General features: G+C 41.1%; 1 protein-coding gene across 1 annotated transcript, besides 3 other annotated features; it reads right to left on the reverse strand.

Moving 5' to 3' along the window:
• Nucleotides 1-174: 174 nt before the first annotated feature.
• TTC5 (tetratricopeptide repeat domain 5) lies at nt 175-19,899 on the reverse strand. The gene is made up of 10 exons (NM_138376.3): nt 19,835-19,899; nt 15,781-15,913; nt 14,555-14,766; nt 13,246-13,396; nt 12,745-12,836; nt 10,338-10,394; nt 9,656-9,802; nt 9,260-9,474; nt 5,931-6,075; nt 175-3,694 (listed from the first exon to the last, which is right to left on the reverse strand). The coding sequence occupies exons 1-10, from the start codon at nt 19,883-19,885 to the stop codon at nt 3,575-3,577; spliced, it is 1,323 nt and encodes a 440-aa protein (NP_612385.2). The 5' UTR covers nt 19,886-19,899; the 3' UTR covers nt 175-3,574.
• Nucleotides 9,004-10,203: an enhancer, noted in NCBI's record as "CDK7 strongly-dependent group 2 enhancer chr14:20763215-20764414 (GRCh37/hg19 assembly coordinates)". NCBI's record gives its function as "activates an origin of replication core promoter dependent on BRD2, BRD4, P300/CBP, MED14 and CDK7 cofactors, with strong dependence on CDK7, by STARR-seq in HCT116 cells {active_cell/tissue: HCT116}" and the evidence as "EXISTENCE:reporter gene assay evidence [ECO:0000049][PMID:35650434]".
• Nucleotides 19,805-20,044: an enhancer, noted in NCBI's record as "active region_8067". NCBI's record gives its function as "activates an Ori minimal core promoter by ATAC-STARR-seq in GM12878 lymphoblastoid cells {active_cell/tissue: GM12878}" and the evidence as "EXISTENCE:reporter gene assay evidence [ECO:0000049][PMID:35858748]".
• Nucleotides 22,825-23,025: a silencer, noted in NCBI's record as "peak2110 fragment used in MPRA reporter construct". NCBI's record gives its function as "represses an SCP1 promoter by STARR-seq MPRAs in K562 erythroleukemia cells {active_cell/tissue: K562}" and the evidence as "EXISTENCE:reporter gene assay evidence [ECO:0000049][PMID:32103011]".

Here is a 24,833-nt window from a genome sequence, read left to right on the forward strand (position 1 = left end):
GATAGCATTAGGAGATATACCTAATGCTAAATGATGAGTTAATGGGTGCAGCACACCAACATGGCACATGTATACATATGTAACAAACCTGCACGTTGTGCACATGTACCCTAAAACTTAAAGTATAATAATAATAAAAAAAAGAGAGAGCATTAAGAAAATGAAAAAGCAAGCTGCGATTTGGATAAATATATTTGAAAAACATAATTTATAATGGATTAGTATCCAGAACATGTAAGGAATCAATAAGAAGACAACCCAATAAAAATTGGACAAAAGAAAACAGAGATTTCATAGAAAAAGAAACAGGAATGGACAAAGAAATGTAATTTATGCCTACTATGTGATATTTTATAATCATCTGGTTGGTAAAAATTAAAAAGCTAGACAATTTCAAAAAAAGAAAAAGACAGACTGGGCTTTAAAGATCAGTAGGGAAAGGATTGATTCTTTAATAAAAGGTGCTGGGCTATTTACTCATTATGAAAAAAATTATATCCGTACATAACATAAAATAAAGTCATACTGTAAGAAAAGGACAAAATAACTTCATAAAGCAGTAGAGGGAAAATGTCCTTATGACTTTAGGAGAGCTAAGAACCTCTTAAAACACAAAAAGCATTATCATAAAAGATGGATAAATTCAATGACATTGAAATTAAGAACTTCTGTTCAGCAAAAGACCCAATAGAATAAAAAAAAAAACAGGATAAAACTGTATGTAGACAAACGATTAGTACAGGGAATATATAAATCAATTTGACATCCAATACAGCAGTGTGCAAAGACTCGAATAGGCATTTTACCGAGAGAAAATATTAGTGGCTTCTAAATATATGAAAAGATGCTCAAGCTCATTAATAATCAGAAATGCAAATTAAGGCCACAAGGAAATAATACTCAAATCTCCTGTATTTGCAATACCTAAAAGATAATACCAAGCACAGAAGAGGATGGGGAGCATTGGGGTGACTCATCTATTGATAGTAGAGACATAAACTAATATAAGCACTTTGGAAATGTTTAGTGCTTCTCAAAAAAGTTGAACATGTATATACTCTATGATCCAGCAATTCCATTCTATGTCAATACTCTTAAACAGTGGTTCTCAAATTTTACTGTGCATCAGAGTCACCTGGAGGGTTTGCGAAACACAGATTGCTGGGCTCCTCCCACATAGTTTTGAATTCAGTAAGTCTGGGTAGGGGGCTTGAGAATTTGCATTTCAAAGAAGTTCCAAGGGATGCTGATGCTGCTGGTCTGGGAACCACTCTTCAAGAGCCATTGCTGTAAAAGAAACTTTTGCACTTACATATCAGGACATATACAAGAATATTAATAATGTAGTGCTTTGGTAGTAAAAAAAGAAAAACTGGAAACCCAAATATCCTTTAACAACAGGATGAATAAATTATGGTATAATCATACAATGAGATTTATATAGCTGTGAAGACAAATGAGATCATGGAGAGGTATGCAAGGGCTTCCAAGTTATCAATGATGTTCTAGTTTTTAAGGCAGGTGGATATTTTATGGGTATTCTAGTTATTCCTGAAACCGTATGTACAAATTTTGCATACTTACTTGTTTGTACGCACTGCTTCTCTGTGGCTACCACCTACTGGCCATTTTTCTACTCTCTAGCCCTACACAGAACATGTCAACTCATCTCAGAATTTGAGTAAAAGGGGAACAGTATTTGGGTCCCACATCTCTACTGCCTCAAATGTTTACACATACTACTACCCCCATCTTCCCTAGTTGCTTTCAGCCAATTCTCAAGTTATTTTTATACCCCACAAGCTCCTAATCACTCTTCTATGACTCTAGGCCTCAAAATGACACCCAAAACTAATTTAAGACTCCATATGTGGTATAACAGACAGTACTTCTAATAAAAACTGTCTCTTGCTACCATAGGTTTTTTTGGTGCAGTCCATGAAGAGTGTTCTTGCAAACTATATCAGACTGGTTACTCATACTGACTTTAGCTTATCTACTAAGATTCTTAGTAATATTCATATATGATGTTGAAGCTATACCTGAGAATGTAAGCCTTTTTGGACCAAAAGAATGGACTGAAAATTTTATCTTATTAGACTCAGCCTTTATGACTTCTTAGATAGAGACAGATAGATAGATAGATAGATAGACAGATAGATAGATAAAACTTCTCTCATCAATGCATTTCTACCATCCATTCTCTGAGGAGGCCTCTGCACTCTTTATAAATTTAATGAGTCATCAATGATATTCAAGGCACTGATCAAAAACTGAACAGGACTGGACCAAGAACAAAGATCTGAGCCATTTCACTAGAAGACTTCTCAATTCATCTGTATACATTAATGTATTACAGCCATTCAGTTGTTGTTGCTGTTTGAGACGGAGTCTCGCTCTGTCGCCCATGCTGGAGTGCAGTGGCATGATATCGGCTCACTGCAACCTCCACTTCCCAGGTTCAAGCAATTCTCTGCCTCAGCCTCCCCAGTAGCTGTGATTACAGGTGCCTGCCACCACGCCCAGCTAATTTTTGTATTTTTAGTAGAGACGGAGTTTCACCATCTTGGCCAGGCTGATCTTGAACTCCTGACCTCGTGATCCACCCGCCTTGGACTCCCAAAGTGGTGGGATTACAGGCTGAGCCACCGTGCCAGGCCAATTCAATTGGTTATTAATCCTCACTCACATTTCTCCATTTTACCACAAGGATATTAAGATAAACTGTTATAAAACATGTCACTAGACTCTAAAGAAACTGAGGATTTATCTAACTCTCTCTGGTCCTTCAGCCTAGTAACACTATTAGAACAGTATTGCTCTGTCATCTTGGACCATAGTGAAGACCACCCCTAGGGAATGACAGAATGGGAAAATGGAAGAAAGCTGGTCTCTAGCAACTTTGTGGAGTTGCCATTCCTGCCTGGGGCTGTCTATTGTCGGAATTCTTTTAACTGGGAGAGAAATAAACTGCTTTGTATAAAGAAAAAAATGGGGGTATTACTCCAATAAATTGAAGTGATCCTAAAACAAAGAATACAGGCCTAGGGAGAATAAAGCAGGCCAAACTACGTGGTGTTTTTTTTTTTTTCCAAACAAATTTAATTCTGTTCCAGCCCCAAAGAAGAGGAAGGACCTAAAGTTCAAAAATAAAAATAAAAATTGCTAAAAATAAAAGCCATTACAAAATTAAGCCCCCTCCTTTAGCAATAAATACTGAACTGATATATACATATGAGGCTTAGGAAGGAGGCAACAACAGGAACCTTGGGGACTCTGTCCCATGGCAAGATCCCAAGACTTCTACCAATTCCATGCTCTTTGCTTAAAACATAGAGAGCAGTGGAAGAGACAGGAGAGATATGCCAGAAGAGTATGTGGCCCTGTAGAGAGCTGGAACATGATGAGGACAGAGGAGAGAGAAGAGATACGAAGTGTAATACAGGCAGGGAAAGAGAAAGTCTTCATTTAAAACATTCCTCCCATCCCTGCTGAATCACTGGATGTGGCTGGACCGGCTGTCCAGAGCCTTGTCTCCTCTCCTCCACTCCCTGTTGAGCATGCAAGTCAAAGGTCATTCACACTGTGGTCGCGATGCCACTGTGGCAACAGCCTGGCTGCTGGATCCCTGAGGCTTCCCATTCACCACTAGCAGGAGGGGCGTCTCCACTCGAACACTGGAAAAGGAATAGTCCTAGAAAAGACAGACAGACAAAGGTTCACTACAGATTCCAAGATGGAAAAAGCTCCAGCATGGGGATACACCACTTGCAACTTTCTGCACCACCTCCCCTGTTGTATACCCCCTCTACTTCCATCTCACATCAGACAAAACTGAGCTAACACAGGGGACGAAAATTTCCCAAAGTTTTCAATCTTCAGAAGGAAAACATGGAGCATGTAAGGTCATGTAGTGCCACTACAAGAATGAGACAGCTCTTTGATCCAAAAAAGGCAGGTTCCTGGCATTGCCTAACAAAAGAATGCAACCAACTCTCATAGAATCTGCCTTTTCCCACGGTGTTTCCTGATAATTAACTAGATACACATAGCAGCCGGCCAGAGCCAGTGGGAATCCTGAGAAAATCTCAGTCCAAATGTTTATAAGGTCCTAATTTAATCCACCAAATACAAATTAAAGTTACTTCTCTTTTATATCAAGAGGAGGAAATAGAACATGAAACAGAATGTAGCCGTTTTCCTAATAACAAAAAAGGTATCAGCTCACTGTATCAGTTTAAGTGTATTTTAAGTTGTAAAACATATTAAATAGTCTTCATCCAAAAAATATGGCAATGAGAGGCAGGCTCTTTTAAGTCCAAGTAAAGTAAATTTAAAAGTTCTCATAAACCAATTTTTTTTAAGTCTTCACAGAAATATCAACAAGTGACACAAAAAATGGCAATTTATACAAGAAATATAAATTAATATTCATGCTATATTTTCCATGTAAAATTAGAAAATAACTTTTCAAAGGTTTCCAACCAGAGTTGAGAAAAAAACTACAGAGAAACACTTATTTACATCCACTGTTGGTAGTGACAACTAACTAGTACAATTTTCCAAAGAATTATTTGGCAATATGTATCAAAAGCCTCAGAATTCTGCATACCCTTTGGACCCAGGAGTCTACATTAGAAATTCATTTAAGGAACTAATCATAGATACAAGCAAAGATACAAAAATCCTCACTGTGTTTCTAATTTTTTTTCTATTATAAAAGTACTAATTTAGATCGGAGGTCATCAAAGTATTTCTGCAAAGGGACAGATAGTAAATATTTTAGGCTTTGTAGGTCATATGGTCTCTGTTACAGAACAAGTCACCTCTGACACTATAGTGCAAAAACAGCCACAGACAATAGTAAGCAAATGAGTGTGGCTGTGTTCCAATAAAGCTTTATTTGTGGACACTGAAATCTGAATTTCCTGTAATTTTCACATATCACAAAATATTACGCTTCTGTCCATTTTTTTCACTTAACAACACAGAAACCACACTCTTGTTTTTCTTTTTTTTTTGAGGCAGACTTTCTCTATCACCCGGGCTGGCGTGCAATGGGACAATAATGGCTTACTGCAGCCTCAAACTCCTGAGATAAAGTGGTTCTCTCACTTCAGCCTCCTTAGTAGCTGGGACTACAGGCATGTGCTACCATACCTGGCTAAGTTTTTTAACATTTTTTTGTAGAGACGGGGTCTCACTATATAGCCCAGGCTGGTCTTAAACTCCTGGGCTCAAGTGATCCTCCCACCTTGGCCTTCCAAAGTGCTGGGATTTTACGCATGAGCCACCATGCCCAGCCTAGAAACCATTATTAATAAACACAAGCAGTGAGCCAGATTTGGTCAATGGGCTTTGCCAACCTCTGATCTAAATGGTTAAACAGTAGTTAAATATCTACATTCATAAGGTTTTTTTAAGAATTGAATGGGGCAAGGCAGGTAATAAAAACTCTTAGCACAGTGTCTAGCACTCAATTAAGTGTTAAATAAATGTTAACTATCATTACCATCTTCATCACCCCGTGTCTACTCAATGTGGTGAAATATGTAAAAACATAGGAAACATTCACAAACATTTGCATATAATATCCCACTCATGATTTAAAATATAGATATATGTGTATATATTTGTGAAAAGAAAAGACTTCAGGTATATACACCAAACTGTTAACAGTAACAGTTAAAAGGCAGTAATACCTGAGTGATAATATTTCACTGCATTTTTTTATTTTTCTGCTTACCAGTTTACCTTTTTAGTAAAAAAATACATATATATATATAAATAAAACATATACACACAAATATATATACACATAGCCTACACACATACTTACATATAATTATTTCTATATCTTTTATAAAAAGATAAGCTTGGTTCTACTTTTAGAGCCTACGAGTTGTAAGAGAATCCTAGCCATTGCTCACCTTTCCTTTGTGCTGAATTCGGTGAAGCCGCAGGTTGGGCTCAGGAATGGCTACAGAGTCTCCAATGAGCACTCCCCAGCTCTGCACTATATTGTACACCATCACTGCATAGCAAGGTCCATCTGAATCTACCAGGCCAAATGTACTACCAAGTAAAGACAGATTAGGAGAGAGGAAAACAAAAAGGTATGTGGGTAGGAAAGAAGAGCAGAAACAGTGGTTTAAAAATACTAGCAAAATACTGGACTTAAAGTCAGTGACAGGTAATTAAAATAAAATATAAAATTTAACTTAATTAAACTTTAAAAATAAAATACTAACAAAATAAACAAATGCTTTTTCTCAGTTACTCAGAAAACCTATGAGAGGTACCATCTTCCACTTTATATATCTGAGTCTTCATTTTTCTGAAACTCATCAGTCACTTTGCTAAGAACTTAGGACAAAGCACACTGAAGCCATTCAACAAATATTAATGATGAACTAGACCAACATGTTACAGTTGTAACATTATTCCTGGTCTATCAATTTAACTATCATACTCTTAACCAAAGCCTCTAACCATCACTGTCTGTGTAGTTTAACTCCACAAACTTTCACTGAATATTACATATGTGCCAAGCATTGTGTTTAGCAATAAGATACCAATCCAGCTATGAATGACCTATAGTCTAGCAGGAGTCAGACAATGAAGTCATCACTTACAGCACAGTGTGATGGGTGCTAGAATAGCTTTTCCCTTGTGCTGAATTCAATGAAGCCACAGATTGGGCTGTGGGAGCCCAGAGGACAAATATCTAAATCAAAATTGGAAAGCAGGGAAGATTTCCTGGAAGAGGTGACGCTCAAAGTGAATCTTAAAGGGTAAAAAACCAGCTGGGTTAAAAGAGAAAAATTAATCCTCGGTAAAAATGTTAAAAACCTCTGAGGGGATAGGAACAGAGATTTTGACTTGGAGGCAACATCAGGGAACTTCCCAGAATGGTGGTAATGATCTCTATTTGGGTTATACAGATATTTTCCATTTGTTAAAAGCTATGAAATGTACGCTTAAAATTGTACATTTCATTGTATGTAAATTTTACATAAAAAGAAAAAATTGAAACAAATACTGAACTCAGTTAATGACTGCATGCTAAAGTATGTAAAGTATATTGATCTCTGCAATTTACTCTGATAGCAGGATAAACAGACTGATATGTAATAAGCTAAGTAAAATAAAATATTAATGGTAGAATATAAGTGGATGAGAACACAAATGTTCAATGTAAAACTCTTTCAACTTAGCTATATGTTTGAAAATTTTTATACAAAATGTTGGGGGCAGAAGAGGATGTTAGCTATGTCAAGAAGAAGCTAGAGATTATCCAGGCAGAGTAACTGTATGTAAGACACAGAGGCATGAAAACAGCTGTTCTAAAACCAACAAAATTGTTCCATGGTTGAAACAAAAGGCACTGGTGGGAAAGAGACAAAAGATAATAGAAAGAGAAGCAGGGAGCAAATCATGAAGGACTTTGTATGCTAACCTAAGTAGTTCACACTTTATCCCAAAAGCTACATATAGTACCAGTAAGGGATCTTAAATAAGAAGTAGCAATGGTCAGATTTCCATCTAAGAAACATTTCTCTGGCAGCACTGTGGAACACTGGAGGAAACCAGAGAATCAGGGAGACCTATCTGGAGAAGTGATAAGGGGGTGAATTAAGGTGGTAAACACAGAGAAGTCAAGTCTATAGGACAAAAAAGGCAAATCTTTTTGGAGAATGGAGAAGCCTATTCTTCCAAAAGTCTTAATCAAGTGACTGAGAGGTGATACCATTCATTCACAAGGAATCCAGGGAGGAGAAGCAGGTTTACAGAGAAAGATTTAGGTGAGTAATACTGAAATACTGAGTTAGAGATTTCTTATTGGAACCCAGAAGCAGATGGTTATAGGAATCCAACACTTGGAAATGAAGCTTGGGCTGGAGATATATCTGTAAGCATATAGGAGGCTGCCAAAGCCTTGGGTTTATATGACATCACAGGGCAAGATGATCTATAGACAGGATGGAGAAGAATCACACTCATGCCATCACGTGACATGCCTGAATTCACAGGAAATATTGCAATCAAGCAAAGCACTCTCCTGATGAATCCAGTCAAAGCCTCAGAATCCTTCTACACAGTATGTCAGGCAACCACTGACAAGTGATCAAAGTTGGCAACTATAGGCCATCCTGATATAAAGAGAAAAAAGGAAAAAAACAAAAATAGAGTCCTGGGAACCTAAGATTTAAAAGTTAGGCAGAAAAAGAGAAACCAAGGAGTGGCAAAATATCTATTTGTTCTCAAGGTCCTCCAAAACCTACCTTTGTCTATATCCCTTTCTAATTCTTCTCAGCTCTAGGATTTGCTCTAGTAAACTAAACTGTTCTCAACTATCTTTTTGCCCTTCAACTCGTCAAATATACAAACCCCTAGAAAATGCCATGGAGAAAGCTTGGGCATATAATGGGAATTGTGAATATTTCTGTTTAGATGAACAGAAAGGATGTGAAAAGCAATAGTGAGAGATAAGTCAGAATGTTTTGGAACCATGCAATAGAAGTTGCTGGATCCAGTGCCTAGAAAGACAATGGTGATCCTAGGAAAATAACAATTTCAGTAGAAAAGAGAAAGGGGAAACCGGTCAACCAGGGATTAGGAAGTGAGTGAAGGACCAAGGAGTGGTGGCATTCACTAAACCGTAACTTTTCAAGATCCAAAAATTTTCTAAACAAATATTCTTAATTCATTTCCTCTGCTGCTAGAAGCACCTGCACCTGGGTCCTTTACATTTCTTTTTTCTCACTCCCTATGACACATATATTACACACTCAATAAATATTTGTTGAATGACATCTAAGACAATCTCCCAACCAGACTTTAAATTATAACTCAAAGCTCACTTTTCAGAACTAAGTATACCTAAGTACAAACAGGACTAAGAAATTTGTCCTCCTTCAACTTCTATGATCATGAAAATGCAAAGGGACAGAAGAATTTTGAGGTTTCTGTCTTATAAAAAAATATGTCCTGCCAAATTTCAACTATGGATATAGGAATCCACATAGCACCAAACTCAGGGATACAAAATGGGCAGTGACAGAATCTACAAAAGCCTCTGATCAAAAGATGGTTAAACATCACCCAGACAATATCTGCCCACGGGATAGTCACAGAAGGAAATCAGAAGTCACAAATCTGTGACCACTGACAATCTCCTCAACTGCCAGGGAAAGAACAGGAAGTGAGAGCAATTAGTTCAAAAGGGTAAAATGGGGGAAATCCAAGAGAAACTCACAAGGGGACTTTCTCCTCTGTGGTGAGGCTAAATACCACCTTTCCCAGGATGACGGCACCGCTGTTCACCCCAGGCTGAAGCGTACTCAGTGGCTTGAGCTCCAGGGTCACTTTCTGCCCAGAGGCTGACTGATAGTGCCCATCACTGCAAGGGCCTAGATGGGCTGGGCGCAAGCTTCCCAGCATGCTCTGCAGCTTTTTGGTCTTCACCTTTCCCTGCAAAGAAGGGGAAATAGGTAAGAAGCTGGAAACTAGTCGCCTTCCTTGAGATTCTAATCCTTCCCTCCCACCCACTTCTATAGGGTCTCTACCTCGTAAACCTATTTATTCTTATTTTATTGACCCACGACAAAATAAAAAAAAAAAAAGTGGAATTCAGCCCTTCAGACATTTTTACCTTACTCTCAAGGAGGCTGGTTAATCTATCCAGGAATTCCAGAAGTTGTTGCTCTCGTTGCCGGGGCTCTGGCCAGGCAGGGTCCAGGGCTGCAGCCCGAGAGAAGCCCTCCAGGGCCTCCCCATAACTCTCTTCATATTTATGCAACTGTACAAGAAGTGTATCCCAATTATAAGTATATCCAGACAAACTATCCCGAGGGAATGGCACCATGGGCTAGGAATCTAGAGAAATAAACTGTTTTCCTTCCTGGTTATTTTCCTGTGCTGCAACAAACAGCCTGAAGAGCTGGTAACACCTTACATCCTTCTTCCTAGCCAAGATGATCACAACCCCAAAGATGGAATCATTTCAAAGAAGCTAATTTCCAAACTCTAAAATAGTTAAGTTGTATATATTGGCTCACTTGACCTTTATATTTACTTAACATTTCAGAAGTCTTCTAAAAGATCCCCCCATTCTCTACCTATTCTTCCACCTCCACAGCCCCTTCTCCTTTCCCTCCAGTGACTACACCAGATACTGAAGCCAAACCGAGCTAGCTATTTATAGAAATAGCATGGCTTTCCTCTCGCAGTCTGTACCCAATCTTGTCCCTATGCAAACTCAGTTATCCTCACAAGCTAAGACATAGGTGTCTTATTTATTTGACCCTCAGATGACTACACCCCAAAGGTCTTACCGTCGCCCTGTTCAGATGAAGGTCAGGATTGCTAGAAGCTTTTCTGTCAACTTTCTCCTATAATGGGATGAAAAGATTATCAGTGGATCCTGTCTCAATGTTAAGGACTGACATGCCCAACATGTCCTACGCCTCCTCTTTCTAGAGAAATGGAAGTTTCTTCCTTGCCAAAATGGTATTTATACCACAGAAGCAGTTACCGTATAACAGTGTGGATATCTTAGTCCCAAAACCTTAGGGATATAAGTGTTTTTGTATGTGTGAGACTTCAAAATATTATTATAATTTATCCATGTAGTAGTATTAAGATAGAATAAATCTTTATATAAATGAAATATGTGGGCCGGGCACAGTGGCTCACACCTGTAATCCCAGCACTTTGGAAAGCCAAGGCTGGCAGATCACCTGAGGTCAGGAGCTCAAGACCAGACTGGCCAACCTGGTGAAACACTGTCTCTACTAAAAATACAAAACTTAGCTAGGCATGGTGGCATGCACCTGTAATTCCAGCTACTCAGGAGGCTGAGGTAGAATTGTTTTAACATGGGAGGTGGAGGTTGCAGTGAGCCGAGATTGCACCACTGCACTCGAGCCTGGGTGACAGAGTGAGACTTCATCTCAAAAAAAATAAATAAATGAATGAAATAGGTGAAATCATTTTGATTTTTAAAAATTTAAATAGTGAAGTGCTGGTAATAAATGAAGAAAGGCTAGGATAGAAATGGTGTTCATTTAATGCATTTCCTCTGCCCATAAACCTAGCTCCAGACACATGCGGAATCATGTTTCTACATCCAAGTTCCCTTAAAACACAGATAGAAAACCAAATTCAGACTCTAACTAAAATAGATGGCCAGGAAAAGAATTTTTTTTAAACAGATAAAATAGATGGCCAGACACCACAAGACAGTGCAGACCATGTGCTGTGAAGCAACTGCTGGCTATGTTCATGACTATGCTTATTATATTTTTTTAATTCTCTTCATTACCTGGCGCATTGTAAAAGCACAAACAACATGAATTAAAATTGTTTAAATGGTTGGTTCAGATATGTTTACAAATGCAGGTCTGGGCGAAAAACTTCAGATTAAAAAGAGATGACCAGGCACGGTGGCTCACACTTGTAATCCCAACACTTTGGGAGACCGAGGCGGATGGATCACCTGAGGTCAAGAGTTCAAGACCAGCCTGGCCAACATGGTGAAACCCCGCCTCTACTAAAAATACAAAAATTAGGCGGGCATGGTGTGGCACGTGCCTGTAATACCAGCTACTTGAGAGACTGAGGCAGGAGACTCACTTGAACCTGGGACACGGAGGTTGCAGTGAGCCGAGATCGTGCCACTGCACTCCAGCCTGGGTGGCAGAATGAGACTCCGTCTCAAAAAAAAAAAAAGATTAAAAAGTGACTATTTAGCAGAAGCCAAATATAAAATGTTGAAGGAATATACCACACTATTCTTTAAAATGTAAACATTCACCAAATTAAGAAATTAGAGTAAAATATAATTGCTCTAAAAGTTCCGTGATTGAAAAAGGGCAGTTTAAAGTCAAAGGTAGAGTTGTGGGGAGAGTGGCAGGAGGGGGAGAAAAACCAATTTAAAAGGGCAGTCCCTGAATTGCAAACATGAACATACAGTAACTGTGTTCTTTATTCTACCACAGGGAGCAGAATAAGTAATGATAAGTTAAAAAGCAATTCTCTATATCAAGAGAAGCAAAAGAAGAAAGGTAAATATGAGAGCTAAATAAAAAGTGCTCAGAGGACCAATGTGAAGTCAGAAGCCAATTCTAATAATGAGAAAAAAGGCACTCAAAGTCTGAGGGAAAGCCCTATGCAAATGCCTATCAACATAAAAATGCTTGAAAACCTAAATAAATTTCTTGAAAACCTAAATAACCTAATTCACTTAATTCCTAGGAAATGACACAGAACAAGCTACACATTGTTTTCTCTTTTAGCCCATGGGAAATCCAGAGCCATAATATTACCTAACGGTTAATTTGGGGATAGCACTTAATTTACACTGAAGTATAAGTTTTCATTATTCTTTAAAATGAATGTACAAAAATATTAATAAGTATTATTTTAATAGACTTTTTTCCCATTAAAAAAGATGAACATGTTGAGGCAGCTCTGTGATTTGGTTATATATGTGTGTAAGAAACCCAGACAGGTCAAGGAGCTATCCAGCACCAATGCGACACGATGCAAGTGGTTCCTAACACTCAAGTTATAAGAAGTCAGTCATCTCTGCAGACACATCTTTGCAAAATCACAAAAATGAGATGCCAGCAAACACTGCCACTGCCCATGATGCTTGCTAAAGGGCCACAAAGAAGACTGAACAATGCTCTTGCTTCTGTTGTTGCCTATTCATCTGGCCTGGTGACCATAAGTACTTACTGCTTGGGCATAGGCACTGAGGGCTTGCTGGGAGATCTTAGGGTTCTGGCCAGTAGAGAAGTAAAGGGAAAGATATGAATTCCCAAGAATATCTGAAAGAGAAACACAGTGACAAATCATCTCAGAGTCCAAGTTCAAGATATGACTTATTTTGATCATTCTTGAAAGTATATTTGAAAGGTCCCACAAGAAATCCAAACCAGGAATGACACGATACTTAGTATACCCAAAACTCCACTAGGATAGAGCACCAAGGACACCAAACTGAAGTTTGAACAGACTGTACAAAAGCCCTTCCTTGCTTACGTGAAAACTAGGATCAAAAGATCGAAGAGTTCCTAGAAAAGTAGTTCCCCAAAATGTCTTTCGTGTGTCTTCAAAACAAAGATGCCCTCTCTGGCTTAAACCTCAGAATCACACTCAAAAGAGGGACTGCAAATGTTGCTCTGATTGAAAACATCTGCTCTAGAAACCTGTTGGAGATCTTTTGAGAGCACTCACACCAGGAGCGGCCATCATGGACATCCATCTGAACAGCCAACTTAGCCTGTCGGACACTGTCCATGACATGGTGAGAATGTTCATCTTCAGTGTCAGTCCGCAGCTGACGAAGCACCATTGACAGGTTTTGCAAGGAGACTTTGTTCCTGCACTGCAAATAGGAAGGGCACATACTCAATCTTCCTGATTCTACCTCCCCTTTCCAGATCTATTCTGAACTCAGTCTTCTAAATCTAATTTTTTACCTTTCTAAGTTTTTTGTTTTGTTTTGTTTGAGGTGGAGTCTTGCTCTGTCACCCAGGCTGAAGTGCAATGGCGTGATCTCGGCTCACTGCAACCTTTGCCTCCCGAGTTAAGTCTTTCTCCTGCCTCAGCTTCCCAAGTAGCTGGGACTACAGGTATGCACCACCATGCCCGGCTAATTTTTATATTTTTAGTAGAGACTGAGTTTCACCATGTTGGCCAGGCTGGTCTTGAACTCCTGACCTCAAGTGATCTGCCTGCCTCAGCCTCCCAAAGCGCGGGATTACAGGTGTGAGCCACCACGCCTGGCCGTATTTTTCTTTTTGTGACAGGGTCTCACTCTGATGGAGTGCAGAGGCACGATCTCAGCTCACAGCAACCTCCACCTCCTGGGTTCAAGTGATTCTTGTGCCTTGGCCTCCTGAGTAACTGGGATTACAGGCACATACAACCATGCCCATCTAATTTTTGTATTTTTTGGTAGAGGCAGGGTTTCACCATGTTGGCCAGGCTGGTCTCGAACTCCTGACCTCAAATGATCTCCCCACTTTGGCCTCCCAAAGTGCTGGGATTACAGGCATGAGTCACCACGTCTGGTCCATGTATATATATATATTTTTTTTTTTTTTTTTTTTTTTTGTAGAGACAAGGTCTCACCATGTTGCCTAGGCTGGTCTCAAACTCCTGAGCTCAAGTGATCCTCCTGCCTCGGCCTCTCAAAGTGCTAGGATTACAGGTGTAAGCTACCACACCCAGCCCTAATTTTTTCATCTAAATTCTTGCTGCCATCTGTATCTTCAACCCCCATCCACAGGGATCAGCTTAGCTGCTAGCTTTTCTTCACTTCCTTTCTCCCCCTGAACCTGATCCCATCATCATCTTCCTTTCCCAGGCCCCTGCCTCTATTTTCCTCATTCAGGTCTGCTCTCTGACCTTTCCTCCCTCCTGATTCTGTCCTAGTTCAATTTCAGTTCTACTCTGGTATTCATGTCCTAGGGAAACTCATAGAACCAAAGAAATTCATCCTTCCCATCTCTGCTTTCCAAAGGGATAGGGGGCAGCTCACATGGGTGAGGGCTCCTGAGAAGCAGGTGTGGGCAGCTGCAACATCCCCTTTTTTCCAGTACACCTCACCCAGCTGGTTCCAGGCTTCCACCAGCTCGGGCTCCAGCTTCACAGCCTTTGACAGAAGCTCCTCAGCCTTAGGGCTATAGTCAGGAGTCACATTTAGTGCTTTCCCAGTTAGCATTAGAACTTGTGCCTTGCCCTGGACAGAACCTAAGAGGAAGAAAAAAAGATAAAGTGGGAAAAAAACAAGTTAAAGACCAGGGCACTTTCTCTCAAAAAATAACTACACGTCAGTTTTAGGAATAAAAAGAGTTGGGGAAAATATTTATCAATAAACCATTTATTGAAAGCTCACCATAGGCAGAGTGTATGTTAGCTAATTAGGCAACAAAGAAAGCACTATTTCTAGAGCTTCTGCCATCTGTTTCTTGGGCCCCTATCTACAAGGATCAGCTCGGTTGCTAACTTTCCTAGAGGGGTTTACAATCTAGTGGAGAAGACAAAGCGTAAACATGGAAAATTAAAACCATGAAAAAGAGCATATGGCATTAGCCCAATGAATGGGCTTTAACAAGTGAAGAGAAGATGAGTCAGGACAAATAGTTATCGTTAAAACAAAACAGAGAGAGAGAAGAAAAGACCCTCCAGGTTAGAAAATGATATAAACAAAGACACAGAATCAGAAGTACATGTGGCCATGTTCATGGGAGAATAGACAGTTCAACCTGGATGAAACAGAAAGTTCCTCTACAAGTAATTAGTCAGAGATAAGGTTAGAAAACAGAGTAAAACAATGGACACTTAAATACCAGGTTAAGGGGGTTAGACTTCAGCTAGTCAATAGCAGGAATCTTTAAAGATACCTGAGCAAAAAGGCAGATGAGAGGATAAGGTTAAATGCATGAAGTAATGATTTAGAAAGATAGCCATGGCCATGGTATTATATAAGTGGATTTGAAAGTAAAAGAAATTAGAGGCAGAAAGTCAGATTACTGCAATAGTTCAAGTAAGTATGCTCTTTCATTTCATGCCATTTGCTATAATCAAATTTTAGGAAAAGTGGCTTAGGGAATGAAAGGTTGCACAGGGGCCCTGAGAAGTAGTATTACGTTGTACTACCCTATAGCAGTAACAGATAGGATACCAAAGAGTCAATGAGGAGGGAGCAAAGGTCAATCACATTTCACTGAAGGATGGGGGTTGTACAATCTCTAGGGCTCATACCCACTACTTCTTCCATCTGCTGTAGGGTTTTCTCCATCTCCTTCTGCACATCCTGTTGCTTCCTCCCAGCATCCTCAACACTATGTGTCTCGAAATAGCAGTCTCGAAATGAGTAGAGCTGATCCACGAGTTCCTAAAAAGTATGACAATGGAACCATTAAGTGGAAAGATCACTGGATAGGGAAACTTGAAATTGGCTAGCCATACCAGCTCTTGGTCTAGAAATACCAATTCTCTTTCTCACCTATGAATGGCACAATAGGCAGGTGGACAGGTTTACTAAAATGCCACAAATCATGAGGAAAAGCAGCCAGTACCCCAGGCCAGCTCTCATGGTCCCATGTTGTCCCATGCCAGTGTCTCTATTGTGATGACCATTTTCTCTCCCTGCCTCAGCAGGGCTTCTAATATGACTAAGCACTTCACATACCACAGTCATGAGGAGGGAAACACTGCAACTTAAGATAAACCAAAAGTTAGTAAGATCATTCTATATGGTCCTGGTCCTCAAAGAATAACACTTTGAAATTTACCCTTAAAGTTGGACTTCTCAACTAAAACCATTTTATCCCTGATTTTTCATATGCTGAGATCTGAAAATACAACACAACCTTTGTGAATATAATAAACATGTTAGAGAGTCATTGTTTTCCACCACAAACATACCAATTTGAACTTGGTAACTTTGGTATCTTTGCAGCATTTTGTTCTTTTAAATGCTTATTGTGGTTTTGTTTAGTTTGATTTTTTTGTCAAGTCATCTTCTGGCTGCCTTGGATTTTTTACAAATAAATATTCTCTTTCCTCTTAAATGCCTCTGAGTCTTCCTGTCACACCAGGCAAAGCTTTTCTACTACAGGTCAAGCATCCCTAATGCAAAAATCTGAAATCCTCCAAAATCTGAAACTTTTGAAACGCTGACACCACAAGTAGAAAATTCCACACCTGACACACAGTCAAAATGCGGTCAAAACGTTGTTTCAGGCACAAAATTATTAAAAATATTGTATCAAATTACTTTCAGCCTATGTGTATAAAGTGTAAATGAAACAATTTTTTTTTTTTCTTTTTTAAAAGACAGGGTCACCAGGCGTGGTGGCTCATGCCTGTAATCCTAGCACTTTGGTAGTCCAAGGCAGACGGATCATGAAGAGATCGAAACCATCCTGGCCATCATGGTGAAACCCGGTCTCTACTAAAAATACAAAAATTAGCCAGGCATGGTGGCGCACACCTGTAGTCCCACCTACTCGGGAGGCTGAGGCAGGAGAATCGCTTGAACCTGGGAGGCAGAGGTTGCAGTGAGCCAAGATCATGCCACTGCCCTCCAGCCTGGCAACAGAGCAAGACTCCGTCTCAAAAAAAAAAAAAAAAGAGTCTCGTAGGTTGCCCAGGCTGGTCTCAAACTCCTGATTTCAAGCAATGCTCCCACCTCAGCCTCCCAAAGTGCTGGGACTACAGGCATAAGCCACCAAGTTTCATATTTAGATTTGGGTCCCATCCCCAAGTTATCTCATTATGTATATGCAGATATTCCAAAATTCAAAAAAATCCAAAATCCAAAAAACTTCGAGTCCTAAGCATTTCAGATAACAGATATCCTATTCTTTCCTGAAACTAAATAGATAGCAGCAGAAAGATATAATCACTTCCCTTCGAGTGTAATCAACAATCTTCACAACACATCCTGAATTCATCCACCTGTCTCCATCCCACTATGACCATTCCTGGATTACATCAGCTTCATTACTTGCCTGGACTGCAAGAGCTTCTTAACCAGTCATCTTGTTTCTGTTCTCTCCCATTCTCCTCACTGTAGTGGGAGTGATCTTATAAAAAACGTACATCATATCACAAACCTTCAAATAGTTTCCCATTGCAGACAGAATAAAATCCAAGTCCTTATCATGACCTAGAAGACTGTATGAGCTGACCTACCACCACCCATCCTGACACAAACTTCACCTCTCACCATTCTCTCTCCTACAATACTCAAGCCAGAGTTGCCTTCATGCAGTTTCTCAAACCCATCAAGCTCAGCCCACCTGGAAGACCTTATGCCTGGACACTTTCTCCAGATCTCTGCATAACTTATTCCTCATCATCATTTAGATCTTAGGTCAAATATCAATTCCAGAAAGGTTTTCCCTAATTACTCAACCCAAATGAATCCATTCCTTCTCTCCTCTACTGTTATATCATACTCTTATTTTTCTTCATACTTATTTAAAATCATGTGGCCTATCATTAATTGTCTATTGTCTGCCTCCACCACTGAAATGTAAGCTCCAGGATGGAAAGGCCTTTAATCTGTTTTGTTTCGAGCTACACCTGAGCACCAGAACGGGACTTGGGACATGATAGGCTCTAATTCACTACACTTGATTGAATTAACTAACTAACTATCCCTGTTCTAACAAATACATATGTGCTATACTTAATTTAAAATCCTATCCAGAATGAAGGGAACAGACTAGCACCCTCTGCAAATTTTATTGTATTATATCCAAGACCCAGCCTGCAGAGACTCTGATTTTAACAGTTTAGCAGAACTCAAAATTCTACATTTTTAACAGGCACCCCAGATGACTGTAATGAAACTGTCTGTAAAACACACTTTGAGAAATATCCATTTATACACTCTTTTTACACTAAAATGTCTTTAACAATGAAATCAAAGTTTACCACCATCTCCATGAACAGCAACACCATTATCTAATCCTTTTCCTCTTCTCTACTTCACTCCTTTATTCCATTCCTGCACCGACCCCACCCCAAGATAACGGAAGTATCCTCTCCCAAGCTGCTTAGGACATTTACCACAAATGAACCTAGGAAAAGACAATTCTCATAAAAAATTACAACCAATTTCCTTTTGTCCTGCAATCAACATGGCTGCAAATTAAGAGTTTTAGAGAAGGGCTTATTGATTGGTTTTAGTTGTTAAACCAAACATTCAAGAAGTTGTTTGGTTTTATTGTTTGGTTTTGTTTTCCTCTGGACTGAATGTTTTTAGAAACTTATTTTTTCATGGCAAAATCAATACATGTAAGTTGTTAAAATTCAAATAGATACATGTAAAAAAAAGAAAGTACAAAATTACCCCAAAGAACCTCAGTGATAACCACTGATTTGTATACCTTTTCAGATTTTTTTCTGTGCATATACAAACATATATACACAAATAATGTTTCTAATATAGAACCAGAATTGAGAATCTCTGATTTCAGCCAGTCACAGTTAGGGAATAAAATGAAGTTAATCCAAATCAGCTGGAACACTCTAAAAAGTGTTACTATTTTAATGTACCCAAGAACAAAGAAATTTCACCAGTATTTAAATTTGTGCGTTAAACACCTTTAGGCAAGTTACAAGCCTGTCATAGTTCTAATATTTAAGTTACAGGCTGCCTTAGAACGAAGAACTGAGTTCCTGAGGTGTAAGGAAAATCATGGGTTCTTAAAGGCAAAGAGCCAAGCAACTAGTTAACGCCTCCCTACCAAGTCCAAAAGACTAGTCTTACCTGTGGACTATGTGGAGTCTGGACCCCTCTGCATCAGACCCCAAAGTGGAATTACACAGGTTGAAAGAAATCAAAACTGAAATCCTAAGGGGAGTAACCAGGACACTTGCAGTGCAGGTCATTAGCGTGATTGTTGCCAAATTCAAAGCAGAAAGGTGTTAAATGGCTTTTGTAGGGATCAAAACAACATGTGACAGTAGTTCATGCAGATCTGCCACACACATGTATATGCTATTCGCTATGGATGAATCGAGAAAACAACGTCCTCTCTAAAAATGTACATGAACAGTTAGGAGCAACAAATCTTCTTCCATACAGGACTGAAATTAACCGCAGTCAGGTCGGCAGCAGGAGGTTCCAACGAGGCTCCCTGGCTGGCTGCGGCTGCACCCTCGAGGGTTGTTATAGTAACCACACAGACGCACGCAGCTTCGCGTGTGTGCCGAGGAATTCACGGGCAGTACATAAACTGGACTCCCTGCTTCATTCGGAGTAACAAAAACACATACAGAATTTAATCTACGGCCCCACCTGCAATTTCTGCAAGATCGGCTTGACTTCTTCCTCTTCATCAGCCATCATCTCCCGGCCACTCCACCCCCAACTTTATAACCACAGAGACGCACGCCCTCTCTCACCGCGGAACCACAGCGACATCTGGCGTTCTGGAGGCTTTTCTGCCCCAGAAGGGCTTTGCTTCAAACCGACTTAACCATTTATTTCCACAGAGATGCTCTACAATCACTTGTGAGTTCATAAACTTCTTTCTTTCCCAGATCCTGGAAACAAAATGTCCTCAGCTTAATTTCTATATTCTTGTTTCATGTCTTCCTACTTATTTATACTAAGATTATAATACTCCATAAAGAAGAGAGTTTAAGAAGTGCACACCTGTGTTGTTTGAAATTTCGAAAGCCATGTAGTACAATAGCTACTTTACTCAATCTTTTCCAAACTTTGCAGTAATTTTCTATGTATGATTAATTTTATCATTTTAATGCACTATCTTAATAAATACTACACTTGGGATGGCTCATAAAAACCACCATGCTCTACACTAACAATGCCTCCATATTTATAGACAACATCCAGAAGGATATATAAGAAAGGATGACTGTCTCTGCAGAGGGAAACACAGAAACTGGGGAACTGTGGGTGAGCGAAGAAAATTTTCACTGCCTGCCCTTTTGAATTTTCTTGCCATCTATATGTATCACCTATTCAAATATAAACATTTTTAAATAAAAAATTATTTGCTTCTACATAGTCTCTGGAAAGAGACACAAGACACTGGCAAGACTATCGCTTACAAAGAGCAGAAGTGAGTGGCTGGAGCAAAAATGAGTGACCAGGGAACTGGGGTAGACTTTTCACTCTATGCCTTTTTTGTAACTTTAAAGTTTGTACCTTGTGAATATATTAAACTTCTGAATAAATCTTTTAAAGTGTCATGTAATATTCCTGGCAGTTTTGCTTTACTTTTTTAGTTTTAATTACAGCTTCAAGCTGATTCTGTGAAACTAACAAAGAAGTAAAACGTTCAAGGCAGAAATCATGAATATACATAAAATCATTTCCTCAAATCATTTTCCAACATAAAGGAAATAGTTTGTATTGTAACCTATAAAATCTATGTCGTTAGCTGTAAAATAGGGAGGGATGTTTTAAAAATTTTTTTTTGAGATGGAGTCTCACTGTGTAGCCCAGGCTGGAGTGCAATGGCGCCATCTCGGCTCACTGCAACCTCGGCCTCCCAGGTTCAAGCGATTCTCCCGCCTCAGCCTCCCGAGTAGCTGGGGCTACAGGTGCATACCACCACGCCCGGCTAATTTTTTGTATTTTTAGTAGAGACGGGATTTCACCGTGTTAGCCAGGATGGTCTCGATCTCCTGACCTCATGATTCACCCGCCTCAGCTTCCCAAAGTGCTAGGATTACAGGCGTGAGCCACCACACCCGGCCCTAAAACTTTAAAATTTTTCATCCTCTTTCTCAGACATTTTAACTTTGGTGCACACGAGGCTGGGCACGGTGGCTCACACCTGTAATCCCAGCACTTTGGGAGGCCAAGGCGGGCAGATCACTTGAGGTCAGTTCAAGACAAGCCTGGCCAATGTGGTAAAACCCCATCTCTACTAAAGATACAAAAATTAGCCAGGTGTGGTGGCATGCACCTGTAATCCCAGCTACTTGGGAGGCCAAGACAGGAGAACCACTTGAACCCAGGAGGCAGAGGTTGCAGTGAGCCAAGATGCTGCCACTGCACTCCAGCCTGGGCAACACAGCAAGACTCCATCTCAAAAAAACAGTAATAAATAATTTTGGTGCACATTAAGAATAATTTTTAAGAGATTTTATACTCTATATTCCTAGTGAAGGAAACACTACTTGCTTTTCAATTATGTAAAGCAGGGGTATTTAATTGCCTTTCTACAATGACTAAATATATCTTCAAATGATTTCAGTATAATTTTTATTACCTAAAAAACAATGGGATTTGACATTTAGGGTAATTCCATTGTTAACACATCTTAAACCATTAAGAATCAATCCTAAAATTTAAGAGTTAGAAAAGGCTGTAAGGATAACTTAATTCAGTCCTTCATTTTACAGATACAGAGACTAAGTCCAAGAAAGTTCAAACTAAGTAGAAACCAGAACCCAGATCTTCTGCCTCTCCAGCCAGTATGCTTTCAAATCTTTCCTCTAACAGGACATAAAGTTACTGAGAATGTCCTTCAAATTTCTATCATGGCTCTACATTTTAAATAAATAAATGCATAAACAATTTAATTCCCATAATAATAGTCAGAAATACTCACTAAATAAAGGAAAACAATAAATAAATCTTTTATTTTAATACAATCTCGAGATCAATAACACATTGGTAAACTTTCTGCAGAAGTGCATTCCTAAATAAGTAAACCCAAGGCAATAGTTGACAAAAAGGTAAAGAAGTAGCTTTATTTTAAAATACAGTCTTCCTTTGGTATCTTTGGGGGATTGGTTCCAGGAACCCTCATGGATACCAAAATCCTTGGATGTTCATGTCACTTTTATAAAATGGCATGGTATTTGCATATAACCTACAGATTCTCCCAAATACTTTAAATCACCTCTAAATTATTTATAATACCTACAATGTAAATGCTATCCAAATAGTTGTTATATAGTATTGGTTTTTAATTTGTATTTTTTTATATTATTTTTTCTCAAATATTTTTGATATATGGTTGGCTGAATCTGCAGAAGCAGAACCTATGGATACAGAGCACCGACTGTAAATGCCAAAAAAATTAACTTTAAAAAATAACTTCATCAACGTGAGTTATTTTTAAATACAAATAGGGACTGAACATACATGCATCAAATTGTACTCTCGTTCACTGACATAAGCACACCTCCAAACAATACGAAGGTAAATACATAAATATATACAAATAAATACACACACCCAAATAACAAGCTACACATCACCCACCATTTTCCAAGACCAAAATTTTCACATAAACATACTGGCAAATACAGCAAAATATCAGTGTACATTAACATACTTACATATACAGATATGCATAAATACCAGAATTCAAAGCAACATGTAGCATATAACACAGGTACTTAAGGCATAAACACCACAGCTCAGTGAGAAACAGCACAGGGAGAAAGAGTTATCTATTGAAACAAATACTATTGTGACCTTCTCACACTAGGGATGAAAATTCAGCAGTTCACAATGGAATTGAGACTAATAAAATGCTTATGCTTTAAATAATAGAAACAAAGAAACCAGACTCTAAACCACTCCCCACTGCCAATGAGTTTGTTATGTTGATAATGTGAAAACAACTTCAGAGACTTAAAAGCACAGAGAAGCTGGGGAGTCCTATCTAGAAAAAAGATTTGCTACCCTGCCCCTGCCCCTGCCTCTGCCTCTGCCTCTCCCTCTCCCTCTCCCCTCTCCCCTCTCCCCTCTCCCCTCTCCCCTCTCCCTCTCGGTCTCCCTCTCCCTCTCTTTCCACTGTCTCCCTCTGATGCCGAGCCGAAACTGGACTGTACTGCTGCCATCTCGGTTCACTGCAACCTCCCTGCCTGATTCTCCTGCCTCAGCCTGCCGAGGGCCTGCGATTGCAGGCGCGCGCCACCACGCCTGACTGGTTTTCGTACTTTTTTGGTGGAGACGGGGTTTCACTGTGTTGGCCGGGCTGGTCTCCAGCTCCTAACCGCGAGTGATCCGCCAGCCTTGGCCTCCCGAGGTGCCGGGATTGCAGACGGAGTCTGGTTCACTCAGTGCTCAATGGTGCCCAGGCTGGAGTGCAGTGGCATGATCTCAGCTCGCTACAACCTCCATCTCCCAGCCGCCTGCCTTGGCCTCCCAAAGTGCCGAGATTGCAGCCTCTGCCCGGCCGCCACCCCGTCTGGGAAGTGAGGAGCGTCTCTGCCTGGCCGCCCATCGTCTGGGACGTGAGGAGCCCCTCTGCCTGGCTGCCCAGTCTGGAAAGTGAGGAGCGTCTCTGACCGGCCGCCATCCCATCTAGGAAGTGAGGAGCGCCTCTTCCTGGCAGCCATCCCGTCTGGGAAGTGAGGAGCGTCTCTGCCCGGCCGCCCATCGTCTGAGATGTGGGGAGCGCCTCTGCCCCGCCGCCCCGTCTGGGAGGTGAGGAGCGTCTCTGCCCAGCCGCCCCGTCTGAGAAGTGAGGAGACCCTCCGCCCAGCATCCGCCCCATCTGAGAAGTGAGGAGCCCCTCCGCCCGGCAGCCACCCCGTCTGGGAAGTGAGGAGCGTCTCCGCCCGGCAGCCGCCCCGTCCGGGAGGGAGGTGGGGGAGTCAGCCCCCCACCCGGCCAGACGCCCCGTCCGGGAGGTGAGGGGCGCCTCTGCCCAGCCGCCCCTACTGGGAAGTGAGGAGCCCCTCTGCCTGGCCAGCCACCCCGTCCAGGAGGGAGGTGGGGGAGTCAGCCCCCCGCCCGGCCAGCCGCCCCGTCCGGGAGGGAGGTGGGGGGGTCAGCCCCCCACCCGGCCAGCCGCCCCGTCCGGGAGGTGAGGGGCGCCTCTGCCCGGCCGCCCCTACTGGGAAGTGAGGAGCCCCTCTGCCCAGCCAGCCGCCCCGTCCGGGAGGGAGGTGGGGGGGTCAGCCCCCCGCCCGGCCAGCTGCCCCGTCCAGGAGGTGAGGGGCGCCTCTGCCCAGCCGCCCCTACTGGGAAGTGAGGAGCCCCTCTGCCCAGCCAGCCGCCCCGTCCGGGAGGGAGGTGGGGGGGCCAGCCCCCCGCCCGGCCAGCCGCCCCGTCCGGGAGGGAGGTGGGGGGGTCAGCCCCCCGCCCGGCCAGCCGCCCCGTCCGGGAGGTGAGGGGCGACTCTGCCCGGCCACCCCTACTAGGAAGTGAGGAGCCCCTCTGCCCAGCCACCACCTCGTCTGGGAGGTGTACCCAACAGCTCTTTGAGAACGGGCCGGGATGACAATGGCGGTTTTGTGGAATAGAAAGGGGGGAAATGTGGGGAAAAGATAGAGAAATCGGATGGTTGCCGTGTCTGTGT

The sequence above is a fragment of the Homo sapiens genome, chromosome 14, assembly GCF_000001405.40.
Source record: "Homo sapiens chromosome 14, GRCh38.p14 Primary Assembly".
Taxonomy (NCBI): Eukaryota; Metazoa; Chordata; class Mammalia; order Primates; family Hominidae; genus Homo; species Homo sapiens.

What these genes read in the sequence shown, in the direction of transcription:
- TTC5 (NM_138376.3), bottom strand. Translation starts at nt 19,885, where the DNA reads ATGATGGCTGATGAAGAGGAAGAAGTCAAGCCGATCTTGCAGAAATTG. An exon ending in TTCATCTGAACAGGGCGACG is followed by an intron (nt 9,803 to 10,337) that starts GTAAGACCTTTG and finishes CTTCTTGTACAG; the next exon opens with TTGCATAAATATGAAGAGAG. An exon ending in GAATTCAGCACAAAGGAAAG is followed by an intron (nt 3,695 to 5,930) that starts GTGAGCAATGGC and finishes TGTCTTTTCTAG; the next exon opens with GACTATTCCTTTTCCAGTGT.